The sequence below is a fragment of the Homo sapiens genome, chromosome 1 (assembly GCF_000001405.40).
Source record: "Homo sapiens chromosome 1, GRCh38.p14 Primary Assembly".
Classification (NCBI taxonomy): Eukaryota; Metazoa; Chordata; class Mammalia; order Primates; family Hominidae; genus Homo; species Homo sapiens.
The window spans coordinates 210,014,478-210,037,583 of record NC_000001.11 but is presented as its reverse complement, the minus strand read 5'-3'; the positions used below and the strand labels follow the sequence as shown (position 1 = coordinate 210,037,583).

The 23,106-nt window shown below is 34.4% G+C and overlaps 1 protein-coding gene across 17 annotated transcripts in view; it reads right to left on the bottom strand.

The window, feature by feature from the left end:
• The window catches only part of SYT14 (synaptotagmin 14), a 233,173-nt gene that overhangs the window by 133,806 nt on the left and 76,261 nt on the right, over positions 1-23,106 (bottom strand). For 10 of the 17 annotated variants that reach the window (NR_027459.3, NM_001256006.3, NM_001146261.4 and 7 more), the window contains one exon: positions 16,330-16,545. Coding sequence is in view for 16 of the 17 variants with exons in the window: in NM_001256006.3 (NP_001242935.1) it covers positions 16,330-16,545 (216 nt within the window). In the remaining variant the exon portion in view is untranslated. Of the gene's footprint in view, positions 1-16,329; positions 16,546-20,484; positions 22,404-23,106 lie in introns of those variants that run through there. The other 7 variants (XM_006711262.3, XM_017000931.2, XM_047417063.1 and 4 more) reach the window with 3 other exon arrangements.

The window sequence follows — 23,106 nt, the reverse complement described above, 5'->3', positions numbered from 1 at the left end:
GTCTATAGCACTATGTACCTATATTAACAACAACAACAATAAAAAAAAAAAAAACAGAAAAATCACAAATCACCAACCTAATGTTGCACTTTAAGGAGTGAGAAAACCAAACCCAAAATTACTGGAGGAAAAGAAATAACAAAGATCAGAGCAGAACTAAATAAAATTGAGACCAAAAAATTACAAAGGATCATGCAAATGAAACGTAGTTCTTTGAAAAGATAATCAAAATTGATAGGCTGCTACCAAGACAAACAAAAGAGGAAAGAATACTCAAATATGCACAATCAGAAATTTTAAACAGGAGACATTATAAGTGATACCACAGAAATGCAAAGGATTGTCAGAGACTACATGAACATCTCTACACTTACATACTAGAAAACCTAGAGGAAATGGATAAATTCCTGGAAACATACAATCTCCCAAGATTGAACCAGGAAGAAACAGAAATTCTGAACAGACCAATAATGAGTGGTGAGACTGAACAAATAATAACAAATCTCCCAACAACAACAAAAAAGCCCAGGACCAGATAAATTCACAGCCAAATGTTATGAGACATACAAAGAACTGATACCAATCCTACTGAAACTTCCAAAAAACCAAGAAGAAAGGAATCCTCCCCAACTCATTCTACAAAGCCAGTATCACCCTTACACCAAAGCCAACCAAAGACATAATGAAAAAAGAAAACTACAGATCCATATCCCTAATGACCACAGATGCAAAAATCTTCAACAAAGTACTAGCAAACTGAACCTAGCAGTACATCACAAATATAATACACCACGATCAAGTGGGATTTATTTCAGGGATATAAGGATAGTTCAACATATGCAAATCAATAAATGAGATTCACCACATAAACAGAATTAAAAACAAAAACTATATTATCATCTCAACAGATGCTGAAAAAGCATTTGATAAAATTCAGCATCTCTTCATGATAAAATCTCTCAACAAACCAGATATAGAAGGAACATATCTCAAAATAATAAAAGCCATATGCAACGAACTCACAGCCAGCATCGTACTGAATAGGTAAAAGAAAGCATTCCCCCTTAAGAACTGGAACAAGACAAGGATGCCCACTTTCTCCACTCCTATTCAACACAGTACTGGGAAGTCCTAGGCAGAGCAATCAGGCAAGAGAAAGAAAGAAAGGTCATCCAAACTGGAAAATAGTAAGTCAAATTATCTCCATTTGCTGATGATATAATCTTATGCCTAAAATAATCATCTCTCTAAAGACTCCTCCAAAAGACTTCAAGATCTGATAAATTCAGTAAAGTTTCAGGATACAAAATCAATGAGCAGAAATCAGCAGCATTTCTATACACCAACAATAAGCTGAGATCCAAATCAGGACGGCAATTCCATTTATAACAAGCTACAAAAAACAAAAACAAAAACAAAAACAAACAAACAAAAAACACCTAGTACTACATTCAACCACGAAGGTGAAAGATCTCTACAAGGAAAACTACCAAACACTAATGAAAGAAACCGTCAATGATACCAACAAATGGAGAGACAACCCATGCTCAGGGATTGGAAGAACTGATACTATTAAAATGACCATACTACACAAAGTGTTCTATAGATTCAGTGTAATCCCCAACAAAATAACAATATCGTTTTTCACGGAATTAGAAAAAACAATCCCCAAATTCAGATAGAACCAACAAGAAGCCCAAATAGCCAAAATAACCTTAAGCAAAAGAACAAAGCTAGAAGCATTACATGACCTGACTTCAAATTATACTGTAAGGCTATAATAACCAAAACAGCATGGTACTGGTACAAAAATAGACTTACAGATGAATGGAACAGAACAGAGAACCCAGAAATAACTGATCTTTAACAAAGTCAACCAAAACATACACTGGGGAAATGACACACTATTCCATAAATGGTGTTAGGAAAATTGGATTTCCATTCCTCTGCTATATGCAGAAGAATGACACTGGACCCCTATCCCTCATGACATAAAAAAATTATCTCAAGATGGATTAAATACTTAAACACAAGTCTGGAAACTTTAAAAACTCTAGAAGAAAATCTAGGAAAAACTCCTCTAGACATTGGCCTAGACAAAGAATTCATGACTAAGACATCAAAAGCAAAAACAACAGAAACAAAAATAGACAAATGGGACTATATAAACTAAAAGGCAACTGCACAGCAAAAAAACAATCAACACAGTCAACAGACAACTTGAAAAATGGGAGAAAATATTTCCAAACTATGCATCTGATAGACAAGTTATAATATCCAGAATCTACGAGGAATGCAAACAACTCAACCAAAACCCCTCAAATAACCCTATTAAAAAGTGGGCAAAGGAAATGAATACACATTTTGCAAAAGAAGGTGTACATTTTGCAAATGGCCAACAAGCATATGACACCAGTCAGAATGACTATTATTAAGTCAAAAAATAACATGTTGGCGAGGATGTGGAGAAAAGGGTATGCTTATATACTGTTGGTGAGAATGTAAATTAGTACAGCCTCTAAGGAAAACAGTATGTAGATTTCTGAAACAATTAAAAGTAGATCTACCATTCAATCCAGCAATCCCAATACTGGGGTATATACCTAAAGGAAAAGAAATCATTATATCAAAAAAGATACCTGCACTTCTATGTTTATCATAGCACTATTCACAGTAGCAAAATATGGAATCAACCTAAGTGTTCATCAACAGAGGATTGAATAAAGAAAATGTGGTTTACACATACCAGGGAATACTACTCAGCCATAAAAAATTGAAATCATGTCTTTTGCAGCAACATGGATGGAACTGGAGGCCATTATCTTAAGTAAAATACCTCAGAAGCATAAAGTCATATACTGCATGATCCCACTTTTAAGTGGAAGCTAGGTAATATTTACACACAGAGAGTGTAATAATAGAAACTGAACATAGAAATTGGACATAGAGAGTGGAATAACAGAAACTGAAGATTCAGAAAAGTGGAGGGAAAGTGGGTGGGTGAGGGATGAGAATTGCCTAATGAGTACAATGTACTCTATTTGGGTAATGGTTACACTAAAAGCCCAGGCTTCACCACTATGCAATATATCTATGCAACAACACTGTACTTGTACCCCTTACATCTATTTAAAAATATATGTATATATATTTATATAAAATTTAACTTCTGATTTTTCTATAATGAACATGTACTACTTACACAATAAAAATAAAGCAGCAATAAAGATTTACTTGGGTGTAACAGTTACACAAAAGAACATTTTCTCATATTATGTTATCTAAGTTATTTCAGTGGAGAAGTTTGGTGCATTAGCTCTGAGGGCAGACACTGTGTGTTTAAATTTTGGCCCTGCCATACACTTGTATTAACCTTAGACCTAAGTTCCTTAACCTCATTGTGCTTCAGTTTCCTCATCTTCAAAATATGGACACTAACAGAACTTGTCTCTTAACGGTTATTATGAAGATTAAATTAGTTAATTTATGTAAAATGTTTACAATAGTGTTTACCACATAATCATTCATAAATTATAGCTATTGTTATTTGCAGAACTATACTTTTTATTAGTGTACTAAAAATACAGATTTTTCAGACTTCCAAAATATTGTAATCCATCATCTTTAAAAAGCTGTTCACTATGAAATTATAAAAAAGTTTAAGGGTATATTCTTTCTTTGAGAAACAAGTAAAAATGTTTAAGGGTGTAAATATTTTCCTTATAAAGTGTTATGCTTTATTAAATTTATACTTAAAGAAGCATTTCCAAAGTTACCAATGACCAAAATCCCATGATACGTTTTTCACTTACCTACTAAAATCAAGGCACAATGACTAAAAGATTGGTTAAATTATAAAAAGCTAAAAGCTTTTTTCATAACTATCTGGATAGTAAATAACTGCCTTACTGAGACTCAAAATCCATTTAAATGATCTTACTTTTGGTGGATGGCATTTCAACAACTCAGACTGAAATATAATCTGATCTTCTAGGAAAATCTTTACCCTTATGAGTACATATCAAGCAAAATGAAAGAGATATTCTAAGGCGTCAAAACACCTCATATTCTCAAGGTAATTTTTGACTCACACATCAAAGATTTCAATGTAATTTATTTCTCAAAGGTAGGAAATCTCAAAAAGAGAGCTCCACATGAAGACTGCTTAGACGAAAGATTTTTCAGAATTACACATTAAAATAAATAGAACCTCAATTCCATTTCACCCAAAACTAATGATATTCAGTTGATATTTACCTCTTTAAAATGGCTCTGTAATTATTTAACATGAATGAAGCCAGAGAAACATATTACCATAATGTATAATTTATATACTTATATCTTTAACTCAACTCTCATGGTCTATCCCTATTGTCCAATAAAATTTGCATTCAGTCAGGTCTCTTTTCTTTTTGCTTCTCAAAACTCAAACCATGATTAATATCTGCCTCAAGAGAGGACAGACAGGACATGTTCTTCTGACATTATCATCTGAACATTTCAGTGTAGGTTTTTGCTATTATAACTGACTTCTACTTTTTTTGTCTCCCCTAATTCTTATTCTAGTTTGTACGACAGCAGTAACTGGAAAGAAAGAATATCTGAATGATCCTGTCCCGTATTAAAACTCAGTTTTAAGGCAAAAAAAAAATTGAAAATGCAATAATTTGGGGAGTACTATGAACAAATTGAGAATACTTAAATAAATAGTGCAAACGTATAGGTACGCTTCTATCACAATTAGTAGAATGGAAAACATGGAAGAGTAAACTAGGAGAACAGTATAGCTAAATTAATCAGTTTCTAATTATTGTCTTCATAGTAAGTATTTAAATAAAAAAACAGAATTGATATATTCTTCTGCTACAGTATTTATTTGTAACTATTAATATTTACACTCTACTTCTCAATGATGGGTTTTTTTTTTTTACTGGGTACTAGAGTCAGAGTCACTTTAATGAAAAAATGAAAGAAGCAGGTATGAGGAGTTAATATCATAAACAAACAAGTATGATTTCACATGGTTTAATACTCTAACTCAAGCTAGGTTTTCCTCTGCTCCCCCTTTTTACTTCCATTTTTAGAAAGGAAATAAATGATAACTTGGAAACTTCTAGTGGTAAAGAATCTTTCTACTGGCAAGAGAGGAAAACATGATTTGAGAGTAAGAGATACCTGGTGTGGGACAAACCTGATGAAGTGCTTAGGGCAATCTAAAGGTAAAAGATGGTGATAAAAAGGTAATACAAGAGACCAAAGTAGGAAGAACTGGTAGAAAACACTGCTTATTTAATTATTTTTCCTAAGGCTATGGAAGCAGCTGGTATGCTACTGAAATTCAACTGCATTGATACCATTCTGTTATGTCGGTACTATACAAAAATATCTGAGTTAGATGGCAGTGTACTTAATCTTTCTTAATCTAGCATCTTCAGTTGATTCCAATGATATCCTTCTCTGTGAAAAAAAAATCACCATATGAAGAAGAGAAAAAAGGAAGATACTTAACTCTGCCATGGCATTTAAATGCTCCACCAGGTATTACTTTCCTGTTCTACTTCCGGGCATAGTCATTCTCTGCTAGTTGTCCCTTATTTGTCCTGAAGATGCTAAAGTGCATAGTAGTCCATAGCAAAGAGAGAAAGAATAAATTCCCCTCCTTCTTGTTACCTTCTTTTAGAAAAAATCCCTAAACAACAATAGGTGGGCATTACAGGATTTATTAAAACAGGTTTTTGAGGTCTTACAATGGCCCCCTTGCTCTTCACAAAACTCAGGCATTAATCAGGTAAAAGCTATAACAAGAAAACAACCTGAGAAAGAGATAGCAATCTCCACCACAACTGGCCACAATGATATTAAAGGATAACAAAGGAATATTATAAACAACTCTATGCCTACAAATTTGATGACCTAGGTGAAATAAACCAATTCATTAAAACACACAATATTCCAAAACTCACACAAGAAGAAACAGACGACCTGAATAGGTATGTATCTATTTAAAAATTGCATCAATTATTAATAACTTTCCAAAGCAGAAATTTTGGATTCAGTGGTAAATTCTACCAAGCATTTATGAGAAAAATTACTTCAATTCTGTACACTCTCTTTCAGAAGAGAGAAGTAGAGTGAATATTTCCTAACTCATCCTATGAGGCCAGCATCACCCTAATACCAAAGACATTACAAGAAAAGAAAACTACAGACCAATATCTCCATGAAGAAAGATTCAAAAATCCCAAACAAATCATTAGCAAATCAAGTCCAATAATGAATAAAAACCACAACCAACTGGGTTTTATTCCAGGTATGCCAGGCTGGTTCAACATCTGAAAATGAATGAATGTAATCTATCCATCACATATGGCTGAAGAAGAAAAACCATATGATACTATCAACAGATACAGATAGCAAGCTATATTGAAAACTGCCCCATCCTGGGCAACGTGGAGAAACCCCCAATCTCTACCAAAAAAAAAAAAAAAAAAAAAGACAGGCATGGTGGTGCACGCCTGTAGTCCTAGTTACTCAGGAGACCAAGGTGGAAGATTGCTTGAGCCCAGGAGGTCAAGGTTGCAGTGAGCCATCATTGTGCCACTGCACTCCAGCCTGGGCAAATGAGTGAGAACCTGTCTCAACAAAACAAAACAAAACAAAACAAAACAAAACAAACAAAACACTGCCTTCCCATACTAATTAGTTTTATTACTGAGCCAAGTTCACCATGTCTGGTTCCTAAACCTCTCTCAAGAAACTGTTCTTGTGAGTGATCTTCTCTCAGACGCTCCTCCCTGTGCAACAGCCACACACAGACATGCATGAATCCCAACAACAGAGAAAGTTGACATGCTTTCCTAAAACACTCCTCACCTCATCATACTCAATGATAAAAGACTGAAACCTTATCCTCTAAGATCAAGGAAAAGCCAAGCATGCCTACTTTCACCACTTCAACTCAAAATAGTACTGAAAGTCCTAGCCAGAGCAATTAGGCAAGAAAAAGAAATAAAAGGTGTCCAAAGTGAAAAGGAAAAAATTATCTCTGCTCACAGATTATATGATCTTCTATGCAGAAAATCCTAAAGATTCCACCTTAGAAAAAACTGCTAGAACTAATAAACAAATCAGACCAGGTGCAGTAGCTCACACCTATAATCTCAGCACTTTGGGCAGCTGAGGCAGGCAGATCACTTAAGGTCAGGAGTTAAAGATCAGCCTGGCCAACAAGGTGAAACCCCATCACTAGTAAAAATACAAAGATTAGCTGGGCATGGGCATGGGCATGGTGGCAGGAAACTGTAATCCCAGCTACTCGGGAGGCTGAGGAAGGAAAATCACTTGAACTCAGGAGGCAGAGGCTGCAGTGAGCCAAGATCACACCACTGCACTCCAGCCTGGGCAATAGAGCGAGACTCCATTAAAAACAAAAACAAAAACAAAAACAAAAAAAACTAATAAACAAATCCAGCAAAGTAGCAGGATTCAAAGTCAACACTAAAAAAACCAGCTGCATCTCTATACACTAATAATGAACAATCTGAAAAAGAAATTTCTAAGAAAACAATTCCATTTGCGATTACATCAAAAGGAATAAAATACTTAGGAACAAACTTAACTAAGGAGGTGAAAGACTTGTACGGTGAAAACTGTAAAACATTTCCAAAAGAAATTAAAGACATAAATAAATAAATGAGAAGGCACACTATGTTGATGCTTAGAAAACTTAATGTTAACATGTCAATAATACCAAAAGTGATTTACAGATTTAATGCCACCTCCACAAAATTCCAATGACATTTCTTGCAGAAATAGAAAAACCTCCTAAAATTCATATGGAATCTCAAAGAGATCCCAATTCTGAAAAAGAGAAACATAGCTGGAGGACTCAAACTTCTTGATTTCAAAATGTACTATAAAGCTACAGTAATCAAAACACTGTTGTACTGGCTAAAGACAAACATATAGACCAATGGAATGAAACAGAGAGTCCTGAAATAAAACCTTGCATATATGGTCAAATGATTTTTGACAGGGGACCAAGACCACACAATGTAGAAGAGCCTTTTTAACAAATGTTCTGGGAAAACTGGATATCCAAATGTAAAAGAATGAAAATGAACCCTTGCCGAATATCGTATATAAAAATTAACTCAAAATGGATCACATCATAACGATAAGACTTAAAACTACGAAACTCTTAGAAGAAAACATAGGGAAAAAGCCTCACAACATTGGATTTGGCAGATTTCTTGGATATGACATCAAAGGCACAGAAAACAACAAAAAATACAAAAAGTGGATTTCATGAAAATTAAAACATTTTGTCTATCAAAAGATACTATCAATAGAGTAAAAAATGCCATCCCAAAATGGGAAAAAATATTTGCAAACCATATATCTGATAAGAGATTAATATCCAAAATATATGGAGAATTCCTAAAACTCAACAACCAACCAACAAACAATGCAATTCCAAAATGGGCAAAAGATTTGGACATTTCTCCAAAAAAGATATACAAATAGCCAATAAGCACATGAAATGATGTTCAGTGTCGCTAATAATTAAGGAGATGCAAATCAAAACTACAGTAAGATATCACCTCATACCTATTAGAATGGCTATTATTTTGGAAAAACAGACAATAATAAGTGTTGGTTAGGAGGCAGAGAAATTGGAACGCTTGTACACTACTGGAGGAAATGTAAAATAGTATAGTCACTGTGGAAAACAGTAGGGCAGTTCCTCAAAAAATTAAAAATAGAATTGCCATAGAGCCACCAATTTCATTTCTGGGTCCATACTCAAAAGAACTGAAAGAAGAGTTTCAAAGAGATATTTGTACACCCATGTGCATAGCAGCATTATTCACAACAGCTAAAACACAGAAGCAATTCAAGTGTCCCCCAATGGATAAATGGTTAAGCAAAGTATGGCACATGCACAAAACAGAGTATTATTCAGCTTTAAAAAGGAAGAATATTCTGATACATGCTGTAACACAGACGAAACTGGGGACATTATGCTAAGTGAAATAAGTTGGTCACAAAAAGACAAATAGGGTATGATTCCATTTATATGAGGTACTTAGAGTAGTTAAAATCACAGGGGCAAAAAGTAGAATGGTGGCTGCCAGGGTTGGGGGAAGGGGGAATGGAGTTGTTTAATGGGTATGGAGTTCAGCTTTGCAAGATGAAAAGAGTTCTAGAGATGGATAGTGGTGATGGTGCACAACAATAGAATTGAAAACTATTGAGCTGCACACTTAAAAATGGTTGAGATGGTAAATTTTATGTTATGTGTATTTTACCACAATTTTAAAATTGAAGAAAAAAAAGGAATAAAATTCTGATACATGCTACAACATGGATGAATCTTGATGACATCATGCTGACTAAAATAAGCGAGACAAAAAAAGGACAAATACAGTATGATTCCACTTATATGATCTACCCAGAGTAGTCAAGTTCATAGAGACAGAAAGTAGAATATTGGTTATCAGAGGCTGGGATGACAGAATAAAGACTTATTTTTTAATGGGTATAAAGTTTCTGTTTAGGATGATGAAAAAATCCTAGAGATGGAATAGTGGTGATGGTTGTACAACAATGTGAATACACTTAATGACATTGAACTGTACATTTAAACATTATTAAAGTGATGTTTTGTGATGTATATATCTTATCACAATAAGGAATAAAAAGGGAAAAATACTGTAGATGTAAAAAATAAAATAAAATTCTACACTATTGGGAGGAATTAATCCCATCACATAAAAAGATCTCCAAAACACCAAAGATGCAGTAAAAAGAGTCAAGATTATTTCCCCTTCAAATTGGCCATATTTTAAAAATAATACACACGATAAAGAATTCCTTAGAGGAGAGATGTTCATAAACAAAAATCTGAAATTAAGAAAAAAGCTTACCCAAAATCTAAATAAACATGTATGGTTGACCCTTGAACAACAGGAGTTTGAACTGTGCGAGTGTAGTTATGAATAGATTTTCATCCATCTCTGGGATGGATGAGACAGCAAGACCAACCCCTCCTCTTCCTCCTCAGCCTACTCAACATGAAGACAAGAATGAAGACCTTTTTGATAATCCATGTCCACTTAATGAACAGTAAATTTATTTTCTTTTCCTTATGACTTTTTTTTTTTTTGGGAACAGGGTCTCACTCTGTTGCCTATGCTGGAGTGTAGTTGCATGATCACAGTTCACTGCAACCTCAAACTCCTGGGCTTAAGTGGTCCTCCCGACTTGGCATCCTGAGAAATTAAGGTTACAGGCATGGGCCACTAGGCTCGGCTAGTTTTTCAAAATTTTTTGTAGAGACATTATAGGCATGAGCCACTGCGCCCAAGTCCCCTTATAATTTTCTTAATAACATTTTCTTTTTTCTAGCTTACTTTACTGTAATAATACAGCATAAATACAGATAAAATTAAAAATATGCATTAATTGACTTAATATTATCAATAAAGGCTTCCAGTCAACAGCTGGCTATCAGTAGTTAAGTTTCTGGTGAATCAAAAATTATATGTGAATTTCTGACTGAATGGGGGGATCAGTGCCTCTAACTCCTGGGTTATTCAAGAGTCAAATGTAATATACCTAACTTTAACTATGCAAAGTCACTACACTATTTTTATATCAAAGAATTCTGGAAAATACAGAGAGAATTTTTAGTACTTTTCCACTTTGCAAAGAAATTACGAAAATTAATAAAACAATTTTTAATATAACAGTTAAAATGGACTTAAAGGAAATATAAACAATCTATTACTCTTAAATATTAAATTATTATAAAAGCAAAATATAAATAAAAGGAATAAATAAATGTATTTTGGTAGTCCTAATTTTAAGATAACAAAATTAATAGAATGAAGTTTGTGATATAGCTATAACAGAAAGAGAATGACAAGTAGGGGTGAGTGTGTGTGTGTGTGTGTGTGTGTGTGTGTGTGTGTGTAAGCTATATACCCTAAGACATAAGTGATGCTGAAAATTATTTTTCAGTGGGTTTTACATTAACTTGCTCCCAAAATAAATAATGTAAATTTAATAATACAGCTTTCCATAATACATAAGTATAGCTACGTAATCTCTATGGTAAACTAATAATAAAAAGCTATCAATAACAAAAGACATTCTAGTAATTTTACACTGAACTTGATCTTCATATAGAATCATCTTTAATAAGCTTCTCCTAATATAAAAATAGAAAGTATTAATTAGCATGAGTGAAATTTCAGAGGTTGGTCTAGCTCATCAATTAAATGGGATATCCACGAACCATATTTTGACACTGACCTTTTTAAAAATAAGAGAGGTTTATCAGAAAATGCCCTTAATTTTAAGCACAACACAGTAAAAATAAATTAAAACTGTGAACAAAAGGATTTAATAAATTATTTTAATGTTTCTTTTTTCTAGAAAAATTTCTTACAGATATCATCCCTTTTGTAGTTCCAAAAAAAAACCCAGAAGATTAATATGGCCACCTAGAGGAGAAAACATGATCAACAAATATGCCATTACATTTTCCTACTTTTTCTAGAATATGTGTATTTCAGATTTATAACATATAACCTGCTCTAAAGGACCAACTGAAGGGATTCATCTTGTATGAAATAGACTTAGGGAGACTACTAAAGTAGCAGTGATGACCTAATGAAAGCCAAATAACATTAATTTCGCTGTCAACTTGACAAGTATAGTTTTTATCTTGCTGTGTGACTTTGGGTTAAAAAAATCAACTTAAAGTCACTTAAATTCTGTAGAATCTTACCTACCACAATACATGGCAATGAAAATTAAATATGACAGCATAACAGAAACAGACTGAGGCACGTAGTAGGAACTCAATAAATGGCAGTACTCGCTACCTGGTAAAAGTTCTCTTGCACTGGTCTCTCCTAATACCTCTTCAGGTCCTCTCTAATCTTCTCTACTCCTGCAGATTTGTAGGAGTAGAGAAGCTTTGGCTGTTCCAAAGCTTCTCAACTGGAATTACTCAGGCTGTTGAGAAATACACTAAAGGTTCCTTATTAGCATTAATGAGGTAAATATTATGCCATGTAAAAACTGTATATTTTAAAATATTTTTCCTTCTACCTTGTGATTCCCTTTAGTTAACTCACATTAGTCAAGTTTAACCTTTGTAAACTTGTGTGATGGTCACATGCAGACCAAAGGGTCACAGCAATAAGAAGTGTAACTTACTCTATTCATCTCTTTCCTTGTGTGTCATTTATTTTCTATTCACACAGGAAAATGAATGAAGTCCTACCAAGAGAACTGTGCCCAGCAGTTCTCTTAGGTGGGTGATCAGCCACAAAGCAGCAGTTTCTGCAGACGCAGCTTTGCCAAGGGGCAACCACCAGGTGGAGACGCAAATCCCCTTCCTTCCCAAATATATACCAGAGGAGAGTATCAGTGGGTGGCAGGAAGAAGGTGAACAGTTGGGTTACAAACAAAACCCCCCAACTACCTCTCTGACTCTCAAAGTTGATAAGGAGAGAATAGATGCTAAGAAAGTGAAGGCGGCAAATGTATACTTCCTTACCACTTATACTCTCCTTAACAACATTCAATCTGACTTCCTTATTACTCTCCTAAAACTCTAATTGAAAATGATTGCTCAACTTCTACTGGACAAAGGGGTTTATCTGAATTATCATTCTCCCCAACCACGCTGCCTTCCTTCTTCTTCTAAAACTTTTCTTCCATGGCTGATAAAATATAACATTTTCCTGATTCTCCTCTTTATCTCTTACTGTTTCTTTGTGTCTTTACATGATGCCCTTAATTCTCCTGTCAAAGGAAATGATTCTCTGATCTTTTCTCTCCACACATTCTCCTTCATCAATTTAATTCATGCCCATAGTTTCTATTCTCTAAGCATATACGATCTGAAAACTTCTCCCTGAAACGCATTCATGATTACAAGCTTGACAGCCCTTTCCAACTGCTTAAATATCCTGCCTCATCACATATGTAAAATCACTTATTATATCTCTTATTCACTGCTCACTTCCAACCAAACACAGGTCCCTCTCTGGATTTCATATTTATATTAATGACATCATCATTCTCCTCATCATACATGAGGAAATCAGTCATCTCTGATGCTTCCTTTCTTCTTCCAAATGTTCCAAACACATTCAGTTCCTAAATCCAGTAAGTTCTACCTCAATAATCTCTCTCCTATCTTCCTTTATTTCTATTGCCACTACTGTAATTCAGACTTTTATCATTTTCCACATATACTACCCCAAAGATCTCCTTAACTGATATCTTTTCTGATAGTCTGCTTGCTGCTAAATTAATCTTTCTAAAGCACAACCCTGATTATGGTTCCTTAGTAAAAAACTTTTCAGCAAATTCTCACTGGCAAACAAATTAAACCCTATCTTCCTAGTCAGGGGGCACTCCAGGCCTTAGACTTCATCTCTCCTTTCAATTTTATCTTCTATTCCCTCAGATGTATATGTATAGACGCACCTATGTTGGAGCCAAGTGGATTTCTCTCCATCCCTGAAACATTCTCTACATTTTATCACACTCTCCTGCTTAAAAACCTTGATTAATGTATACAGATAGTATGTGTATAAATGCACCTATGTTGGAGTCAAGTGGATTTCTCTCTATCCCTGAAATATTCGCTACATTTTATCACACTCTCCTGCTTAAAAACTACTGAGCAAGGCAATCCCCTTCTTCAAACAAAGATCCCAAGTTACAGGCACTGAAATACACTTTCTTTTGGATTCATGATTGCATGAAAGCCCTATTCCATGCTTGTTGAAATAATTCTCACTCAAGTCTAACTCACCTAGACCCCATTAGACTTCCTCAGATTCCTACTTCCCAAAATCGAAATCACCTCCTACTCTCTGTATCTTTTTTTATTTTTGATTTTTAAAGTTTTGTCAGCTGGGCACGGTGGCTCATGCCTGTAATCCCAGCACTTTGGGAGGCCGAGGCGGGCAGATCACAAGGTCAGAAGTTCGAGACCAGCCTGGCCAATATGGTGAAGCCCCGTGTCTACTAAAAATACAAAAATTAGCTGGGCATGGTGGCAGGCGCCTGTAATCCCAGCTACTCGGGAGGCTGAGGCAGGAGAATCTCTTGAACCCAAGAGGCAGAGGTTGCAGTGAGCCAAGATCGTGCCACTGCACTCCAGCCTGGGCAACAGAGTCAGACTCCATCTCAAGAAAGTTTGTCTTTTTTTAATTTCCTCTATATTTCTACTGCACTTTGTTCATGTGACTAACAGACCTCTCATCATATTACGTATATACTCACTGATTTTCCTCCTCCAGTCAGTAGGTTTTTTGAGATAAACAAGCTTATGATCTTCATATCCACAGTATCTAGCAGTGTATGACTGCTAAAAAGCGTTCACGAAAGCTTTTTGTGTTTACAAAATAAATAAATATAATCTCAGAATGCCTAAAATTAAGTGTTTCATCAAATAATTGAGGGTAGAAATGTGTAAAAAAGTACAGGATAGGTCCTAAATATATGGGTAAAATAAAATGAGAAGGTGATTCTGGGGCACTTGGACCACTTGCAGAGGTTAGGGCAAGAATAGTAGAAGCACCTAGATTGTGTACCTCTCTCCTCACTGCTCTTTCCATAGGCTATAAAGTCAGGCTAGACTAACAGAACTACCGAGAAGTGCTCAAGACAGCAGAGGGGAGTTGGGGTGAGAGGAAAGAGAAATGAATAGAAAATAAATCCGAAACGTACCTGCAAAAAGGGAATGCACACTCAGGGCTTGCTCATGACCGTCACTCTTTTCACTACCATTATAATTGGCTACATTTACTGATCACTTACCTATTAGCTATCGGACACTATGCTAAAAACTGTACCACATATATCATTTAATTTTCATGGCAACCCTGCCAGTTCAGTTTTATTCATATTTTACAGACAATGAAAGAAATCTAAAAACAATGAACTATATTGCCAAAGGTTTCACAGCTAATATATTAAGAGATATGGCCAGAATGTTAACAAGGACCAGATCTCAAAACACATTCTCTTCCTGCTCTACTATTCATGTACCAGGGGTGTACATAACTTGGGGACTGGTTTTACTGCTTTGTATTATTTAATTAACTTAGTAAGCACATGTCTTATTTTCCCTAGTACTAAAATGTATTTTTGAGGGTAGAGTACCTGTCAGATATTTTTTACTTCTTCCCTTGAATCTCATAATGACCATATAGTAATCATTCAGTATTTGATTAATTTATTATTATATCTGTGTACTAGCAGACATAAGAATTGAGGTGCACTAATCTTTAGTTGGCATGAAGCCAAATACAGCAATAGGTGATTTACCCCCTTTGACAACTGTACATGCTGGGATAAAACTTTAAGTCATCAATAGTAATAGGCCCTAAAACATTAAGTCACAGCTACAAAATCAAGGATAGCTTGTGTTTATGTATAATGATAAAAATGATATCTAGGATATATTATTCTGTCCCTCATATCTGGGTATAAAGATAATAATCATGATGAGTAGCCATACATTCTATTAAGCAAGTGAATAATTTATTTAAATGTGGAAATAAATATGCTTTAATTAATGGCAAAATCTGTCTTATTTATGTCACAGAAAGACGTAAAAACATGAATAAGTGGACTGACATCTTCTATATAGGTTGAGTTCTAAAGTCAATTTCAGCACATAACACAAAATCAGTTAGAGACAAATAATCCTTCAAATTACTGAAATCCTTGAAAATACCTTAAATTGCCTTTAAAGAATGGTATAATATAGTACTAGCTCTCAATAAATTCATCTCAGACAGTTTTCCCTTCTGCACAAAACAGATTACCATTTCTTCCGCTGTCTGCCATGTGCAACATTTGGCTGGTGTTTAGGAGCCATATTGAATGAGACAGTATACATTTACACACTGGAATCATATTCAACACCGTGAGAGACTTAAACTCTATCAGTTCCTATAACAGGTATAGAGAAACCAATTCCATCTGAGAGAACAGCAGATTCACATCTTTCATATCATGCTTGCTAAGCATATGTTCACTGTGAAATAAGAGCTACAATTAACACATTACGTAAATTATTTGGTTTTTGCTTTGGGGTGTTTTGGTATTGGTTTTGATTTTTGGCCTGAGCCCAAAGATACAAATTTGAATAAATTACATTCCCAGAAATGTGACTGTACTGTATGTGCTCTCTTGTTTATTCTGCAACCACAGATTCCTAGAATTTCAGGCACAAGTAATCAAATACTATAGTGTGTCATGTAAAAAAAATAAAACAGCCCATCTTACCTTCATCTATTGATGCTTCACTACTGTATCCATCATACTCTGCCGATAGAGGACTGTATTTCTGCCTTGTTTCCCAAGCATAGTTCCTTTGTCTAGAATCTGCCAGTGGTAGTCTGGAATTGTGTGTTCTGGATAAGGCCTCATGATATTTACCCAGCGCTTCATCTTCACTTTCAGAGGATGAACCATGCTCATCTTTGTCCATGTAGGAATTATCTATTTGGAATGACATGAAGAACAAACGGTAATTGAAAAAAAAATTCCCTCCCCTCACCTGGCCCTACTGGGCCCGTCAAATGATAATTTTTACACAATAAAGTATAGAAAATTTGCTGAAGTTATATATATAAACACACACATATACATATATGCACACATATATACACACACACACACATATATATTATACACAACCTGAATTTTCAGATTTAAAAAAATACAATTTTTTCACATAAGAAGCCCAAGCTTTGGAAAAAGATCAGTTTGTATATTCTATTATATAAATAATGTTTGTTAGTCACAGGGATTTTTCAACCATGTTACATATAAAGTAAATTATAATACCAATTTACATTTTTTAAAGTATAAGTAACACACAAGTGAAGTTCTAAGTATTGCCAGTACTATAGCTCTGATTCAAATAACTCACATTAAAAGACACATTTCTGGTTCTCGTTTTGGTCAAAATTTTCAAAACGGATAATGCTCAGTGCTAGCAGTAAAATACAGCAATGGACAGGTATATACTATTGGTGAAATTATAACTGATACTACTTTCCTAGAGAGCAATTTGGCAAAATATATCAAACTTTTAAATCTGCATAATCTGATCCATTTCCAGGAATTTACCAATTCTATTTCTAAGAATTCAGCCTAAGAAATTAATTAACAGATGAATAAAGATATATTTTTGAGACAATTCACTGCACTGTATTTAATGGCAAAAGAGATAACCTAAATGTCCATCAGTGAGCTTTGTTTAAATAAATTATGATGTATCTATTCAATGATATATTATGCAGTCATTAAAAATGAGGATGTGAATTTAAAAGAACTCTCAGGGAAAGAATAACTACAATATCATGTTATGAGAAAAAAGGAGGTAAAAAAGTAGAAGTTATAATTATATTCCCATTTGAAAAATATATATACACACACATGTGGCATATACACACACATAATGCATACATAGGTATGCACAGACAAAACTATCTGGAAGGATATACACCAAACTGTTAACACTTACTGCTTGTGAAAGGCAGAATTTCTAGGAAAACTTTACTTAAATATACCTAAATTTCAAACAAAACTTTCAGGAGGTCTAAATTTTTTATTGTTCTAAAAAGCACTAGTTATTACCAGTTTTTTAAAAAGGTAACCACTTTGAAACTGCACAATGGTGTAACTTTCTTAGAATTATTAAACAATTCTAGAAAGGTGAAGAGACTACAGTAGTTAAAATTCATTAGTTCAATCTGGTTATTTTTCTCTTTATAGTCAGTTAAGCATCTGTAGTAAAGAAATTGAGGTTGAAATTTGAGTGGGAGTTACAGGATAAGTAATTTTTAAAATACAGGACAGAAACTAAATGCTTAGAGTTAGAAGGAGGTTATATGTCATCTAGTCTAGTCCTAGTTTTTAAATCAGTAAAATAAAGCCATAAATGGGTAACGCCATCACCAATGTCATATATTGTGGCAGTGCTTGCCCAATATGTAGCCAATAGTCACATGTGGCTATTTAAACTAATTAAAATTAAACAGAAATTAAAACCCAGTTCCCCATGCTATTAGCCACATTTGAAGTGCTCAACAGCCACATGCAGCTAGCGGTTACTATATGGAACAATGCAGAGATATAAGACTTTTTCATTGTTGCAGAAAATACTATTAGACAACAATGAGATGGCCGAGCCTAAGACCTCTGACTCCCAGTGCAGAGCTGTTAGCACTTTCTGGGATACCATGGTGGGGATCTTAAACCAGCAGAGGGTTTTGAGTCTCTTGAGGAGGGTAACTAGTCTGTGGTCAAACTTCACCTATTAAAAAACATTACCTAACATAACCTACATTTAGAAATAAAGAAGAAAACCCTTTCTCCTTTTTTTTTTTTTTTTTTTTTTTGAGGAGTCTCACCCTGTTGCCAGTCTGGAGTGCAGTGGCGTGATCTCAGCTCACTGCAACCTCCACCTCCTGGGTTCAAGCAATTCTCCTGCCTCAGCCTCCCAAGTAGCTGGGATTATAAGCACCCACCACCATGCCCGGCTAATTTTTGTATTTTTAGTAGAGACGGGGTTTCACCATGTTGGCCAGGATGGTCTCGATCTCTTGACCTCGTGATCTGCCCGCCTTGGCCTCCCAAAGTGCTGGGATTACAGGCGTGAGCCACCGTGCCTGGCCTTCCCCCTTTTTCTATACCTTATAAACCCTGTGTCAGAACCTGGAACACAGGTACCAGTAATATTACCATTCAGCTAAATGAAGGGTTAATCTATGTGTCAAACAATTTTTGAAAATCATTTGGGAACATTGCGTGTATAAGTTTAGTACTGACTATATTGTGGAATATGTTAGAAATATTTGGTTTCTTTAGGTACTAGCATGCTTCTTAATGAAAACAAATTTAAAAAGTTAAAAACCCTACATGCTATTTGTAATGTACTTATTACTAGTATCCATTCTATCATTATTTTCTGAATAAAATAATATGTAAACTATTTTACATTATTTTTTAATTTTTGCTACTTTAAGCAGTAAGTCTACCAGAACTAAACTAGGCCTACCAAAGATCACTAAATCTGACAATCAAAAAACTGCTAGAATGGCCAGGCACAGTGGCTCACACCTGTAATCCTAGCACTTTGGGAGGCCGAGGCGGGTGGATCACGAGGTCAGGAGACCGAGACCATCCCGGGCCAACATGATGAAACCCTATCTTTATGAAAAAGACAAAAACTAGCTGGGCGTGGTGGTGCGTGCCTGTAGTCCCAGCTACCTGGGAGGCTGAGGCAGGAGAATCGCTTGAACCCGGGAGGCAGAGATGGCAGTGAGCCGAGATTGCACCACTGCAATCCAGCCTGGCGACAGCGCAAGACTCTGTCTCAAAACAAAAAACAAAAAACTGCTAGAAAAATAGACTCCAAAATGGATACATTTTCAGAAACTGACATTTCTTTTAAGTTAGTTCATCCATCCTGGATTAGCCTCTCCTATATCACTGTAAAACCACTCATATAATAGATAAATAGCAGATCCCTATTATGTATGTAGTCGTAGCAGAACTGAAAAGTCTTCCTCATTACCGCTATTCTGCTTTTTGTTATTTTACAAGAGTATGAACTTAGAGAAAAATTCCAGATGTGTATTTTATAAATAAAAGCCAGTGTACTTTTGGCCTTGTGATCAGATCAGCAATAAGTGGATATGACTAAGGGATTACCAGAAGTAATTATTAGCAGTATGAGCTGCTAATGAATATTGAAAATTATCACATATACTGTGAATAATGAAAATTATCACAAATACTGTGATTGAAAACTATAAATGCTTAGTCAGAATCCTAATTCTACATAGAGAACTCATGAATAATAATAGATTATTCACGTATACTTATTGTAAACAGGGCAGTAATATAAAATTTTTAATGTATGGGCGAAATGAATAAAAATACATTGTGAACCACATTATTGAATAAAATAAAATCTATTGCTCTCAAAGAAATAATTAAACATTTGATATAAATTTGGATAGATGCAAAGAGCAATACTGTATAAAGGGCTTCAGAGTTAGTTATATAAAAATTTCAAATGCAACTACAGCACATCAAATAAACTCCAAATAAAGCAGGTAAGAAAACCATGGAGTTTCTGGTTGTAAAATAAATGGACATTAAGAAAAACTAGGGCTGCTGAAAAGTTGGCCAAATAATGCAGGGACCAGGGGCAATACTTAGTGGGACAAATAACATGAATGCTCTTGAAATGATTTTAGAAAAAATACTGAATGGCTTTAAAAATGTTTCCCAGTAAAAGGATTCAAGAAAGTCTTAAATATAGACACATGAACAGGAAAGCTGAGAAATTTGGATGATGTTTTACTAATTTAAAAAAAATCAAGAGAAAATTTAATCACTCACACCAACATTAGGAGACCTCACCTTTTTCTGGTATTATCTTAGAATATTTTTCATCTTTACTCTTTGCTGTTCCTTTCTTGGCAGAAATGGCCTCAGTTTTCTTTGGTTTTATGTCTTCGTTCACTTTACAGTATTTCGTTGAATTTATTTGTTCTTCAATTTTCCCAGATAACTTATCTTTAGAATTAGTTGATGGTGCTGGATGTATGTCTTCTTTTATAATAGATTTCTGTGTCATATGCCTATTGCTTGTCAAAATATCTTTTAAAGAACATTCATTTCCTGAACACTCATTCCCTTTGGATGCTTTACTTTTAACACATTTTTCAGCTTTCTTTAAATGATCTGAATGCCCTAAATCGGGAAGATGTTTACATTTATTGAAATGCCCCATATTCTCTTGATCTCTTCCCAAATATACATGTCGAGATTTAGAATATTCCTCCTTTTTACAATTATCTGTACCAACATATTTCTTTTGCTCATACAATTTGTTTATTCCGTTGGCATTCTTCTGATTTCCTTTCATTTCTTGATATCCTACCTCCTTTAAATCATTCTTACCATTATTGGAAATTCCTACTCCAATTGTTTTACATCTGTCAGTACTTTCAAGTTCTTGACAAATAGATCCAGCCCTTGTATTCTGTCTGATAACTGATATCCCACCATTATTCATGTAGCCTTTCAAAGAAGAATCACCAGTATTACCAGTGTCTTGATATTCTGATAGAGTTTGTTGCCTATCATTAACATGTTTAAATACTCTTTCTTCATGTATTCCTTGATCTTGCTTTAGTGAAGTTTTACAAGTATTTATTTGCTTTGCTCTATGCTCTAAATTGGCTTGTGTTTTCTGACAATTAGTGTTTTTGGAGACTTCTGTTAACCCGGCATTTTTTTGTTTAGAAGTGTCTACAGCTTCTTCTGCTACAGAGCTTTCCTCTTCTGGGCGAAAGCCACTCATCATACTTGTTACCTGCTCAGCAACTGAGTCAGTTAAAGCATAGCTGACCTCCCCAACAGCAGTGGTCAAATCCTCTACAGCACTACTGATTGTGTCTACTAGAGAGGACACTGAAGGCAGATTCTGTTGGAAATTTCTGAAAAATGCCATTTTCTAATTCCTTGTTCCTAAAAGGTGCAATAATGGAATTTTCTCTTCTGAAAATATCAACCACTTTGGAACTTGAATTTAACATTTACTTAAATGTTGCTATTCGTCAGCTCAATATTAGCAATTCACATTGTAGCTTTTAATCTTTCTGTAAATACATTATGCATTGAAAGAAATATGTTGAAGTAAAGATTCTTCCGGAAAAAAAAAATCAAACCACTTGGTTTAAACGTTATGACATTTTTTCTCACTCCACAGCTATTATAACAGCAGCAAGACAATATTTTTCCCTCAAATACTATTGGTTTTTTATTCTACACCTGAAAAAAGAAGTATAAAAAGGATTTTTATTATGTACTTTTAGTTTGCTTATTAACAGTCTACGTAAGGGAACTACCCTATCTTACTAATAAACTACCCAGTATCATTTCACATTAAGAAAAATATTAAAGAGAAATATCTAAACAATTTTGCATAGTGGTAAGAATAGGGGAGAGGAAGTGTGGACACCTGCTGAGTGGCTACTATATGCAAGGCATTGTAATTGACACATTTTATCCTACTTGATTTTACAGTAATTCTAGGAGGTAAATATTATTATTCCTATTTAATAAGTGAAAGAAAAACAAGGCTCAGAAAAATTAAGTTCCCTGAGACATTTTCAAGGGATCCTCAAGGTCAAGACTAGTTTTACAATAACAGCAAGGGAGTACTTAACTTTTTCATTCTCATTGGCTCACAAGTGAACACTGGAGTTATCCAGAGGCTACATGACAGATTGAATGTAGAGGCAGAAATGAGAATCCAGCTGTCTTCCATTATGCTAGTCATTAAAAAGATTTGTAAAAAGTATAAAACAAAATCACTCTTCTCACCACTTTTTCCCCATTTTCTTTTTGTTTTGGAAAATAGTTTTGTAAAATTTAAAGATGATATTTATATTAACATGTAATAGTCTTGTTTTTTTAAAAAAATAAATTAATAATATTTTTAAATTTTCTGTTTTAAATTGGTAAATAATATTTTTAAATTTTCTCAGTTTTAACTCTAATATGGTACATATCAATAGATATAATCCACATAAACAAAAAGCTCTTTGGGACTACTCAATAAAATTTAAAAGTACAAAGTTGTCATTAAACAAAGGAAAAACCAGAAATGCTGAACCAGAGAATTACCAAAGGCCAGTAAAGAGATACTTTTAGCCAGTTCTTTCTGCACAAATGATCAAAAAGCAGAACTGGAGTGGAATATGAGAAACACTGAACTTAACCAAATTAAAACTGTATAAAATACTATTTATAGTTTCTTAATGCAAAAGTCACAAAATATAATTCAATAACTAATAGAGTCTTATAAGTAATGGGGCTATCGCCTTTTAAGTTATCAAATGTAAGAGAAAAGCATATCTCCAACACAGGTACACAGACAAGTAAAGCCAGATTTCTCAGCTATTTTTTGTCACATTCTTCTAAATTAACACTTTGCTTTTATAATTTCCAATTTGTTTCTGCTATCATTTTTAT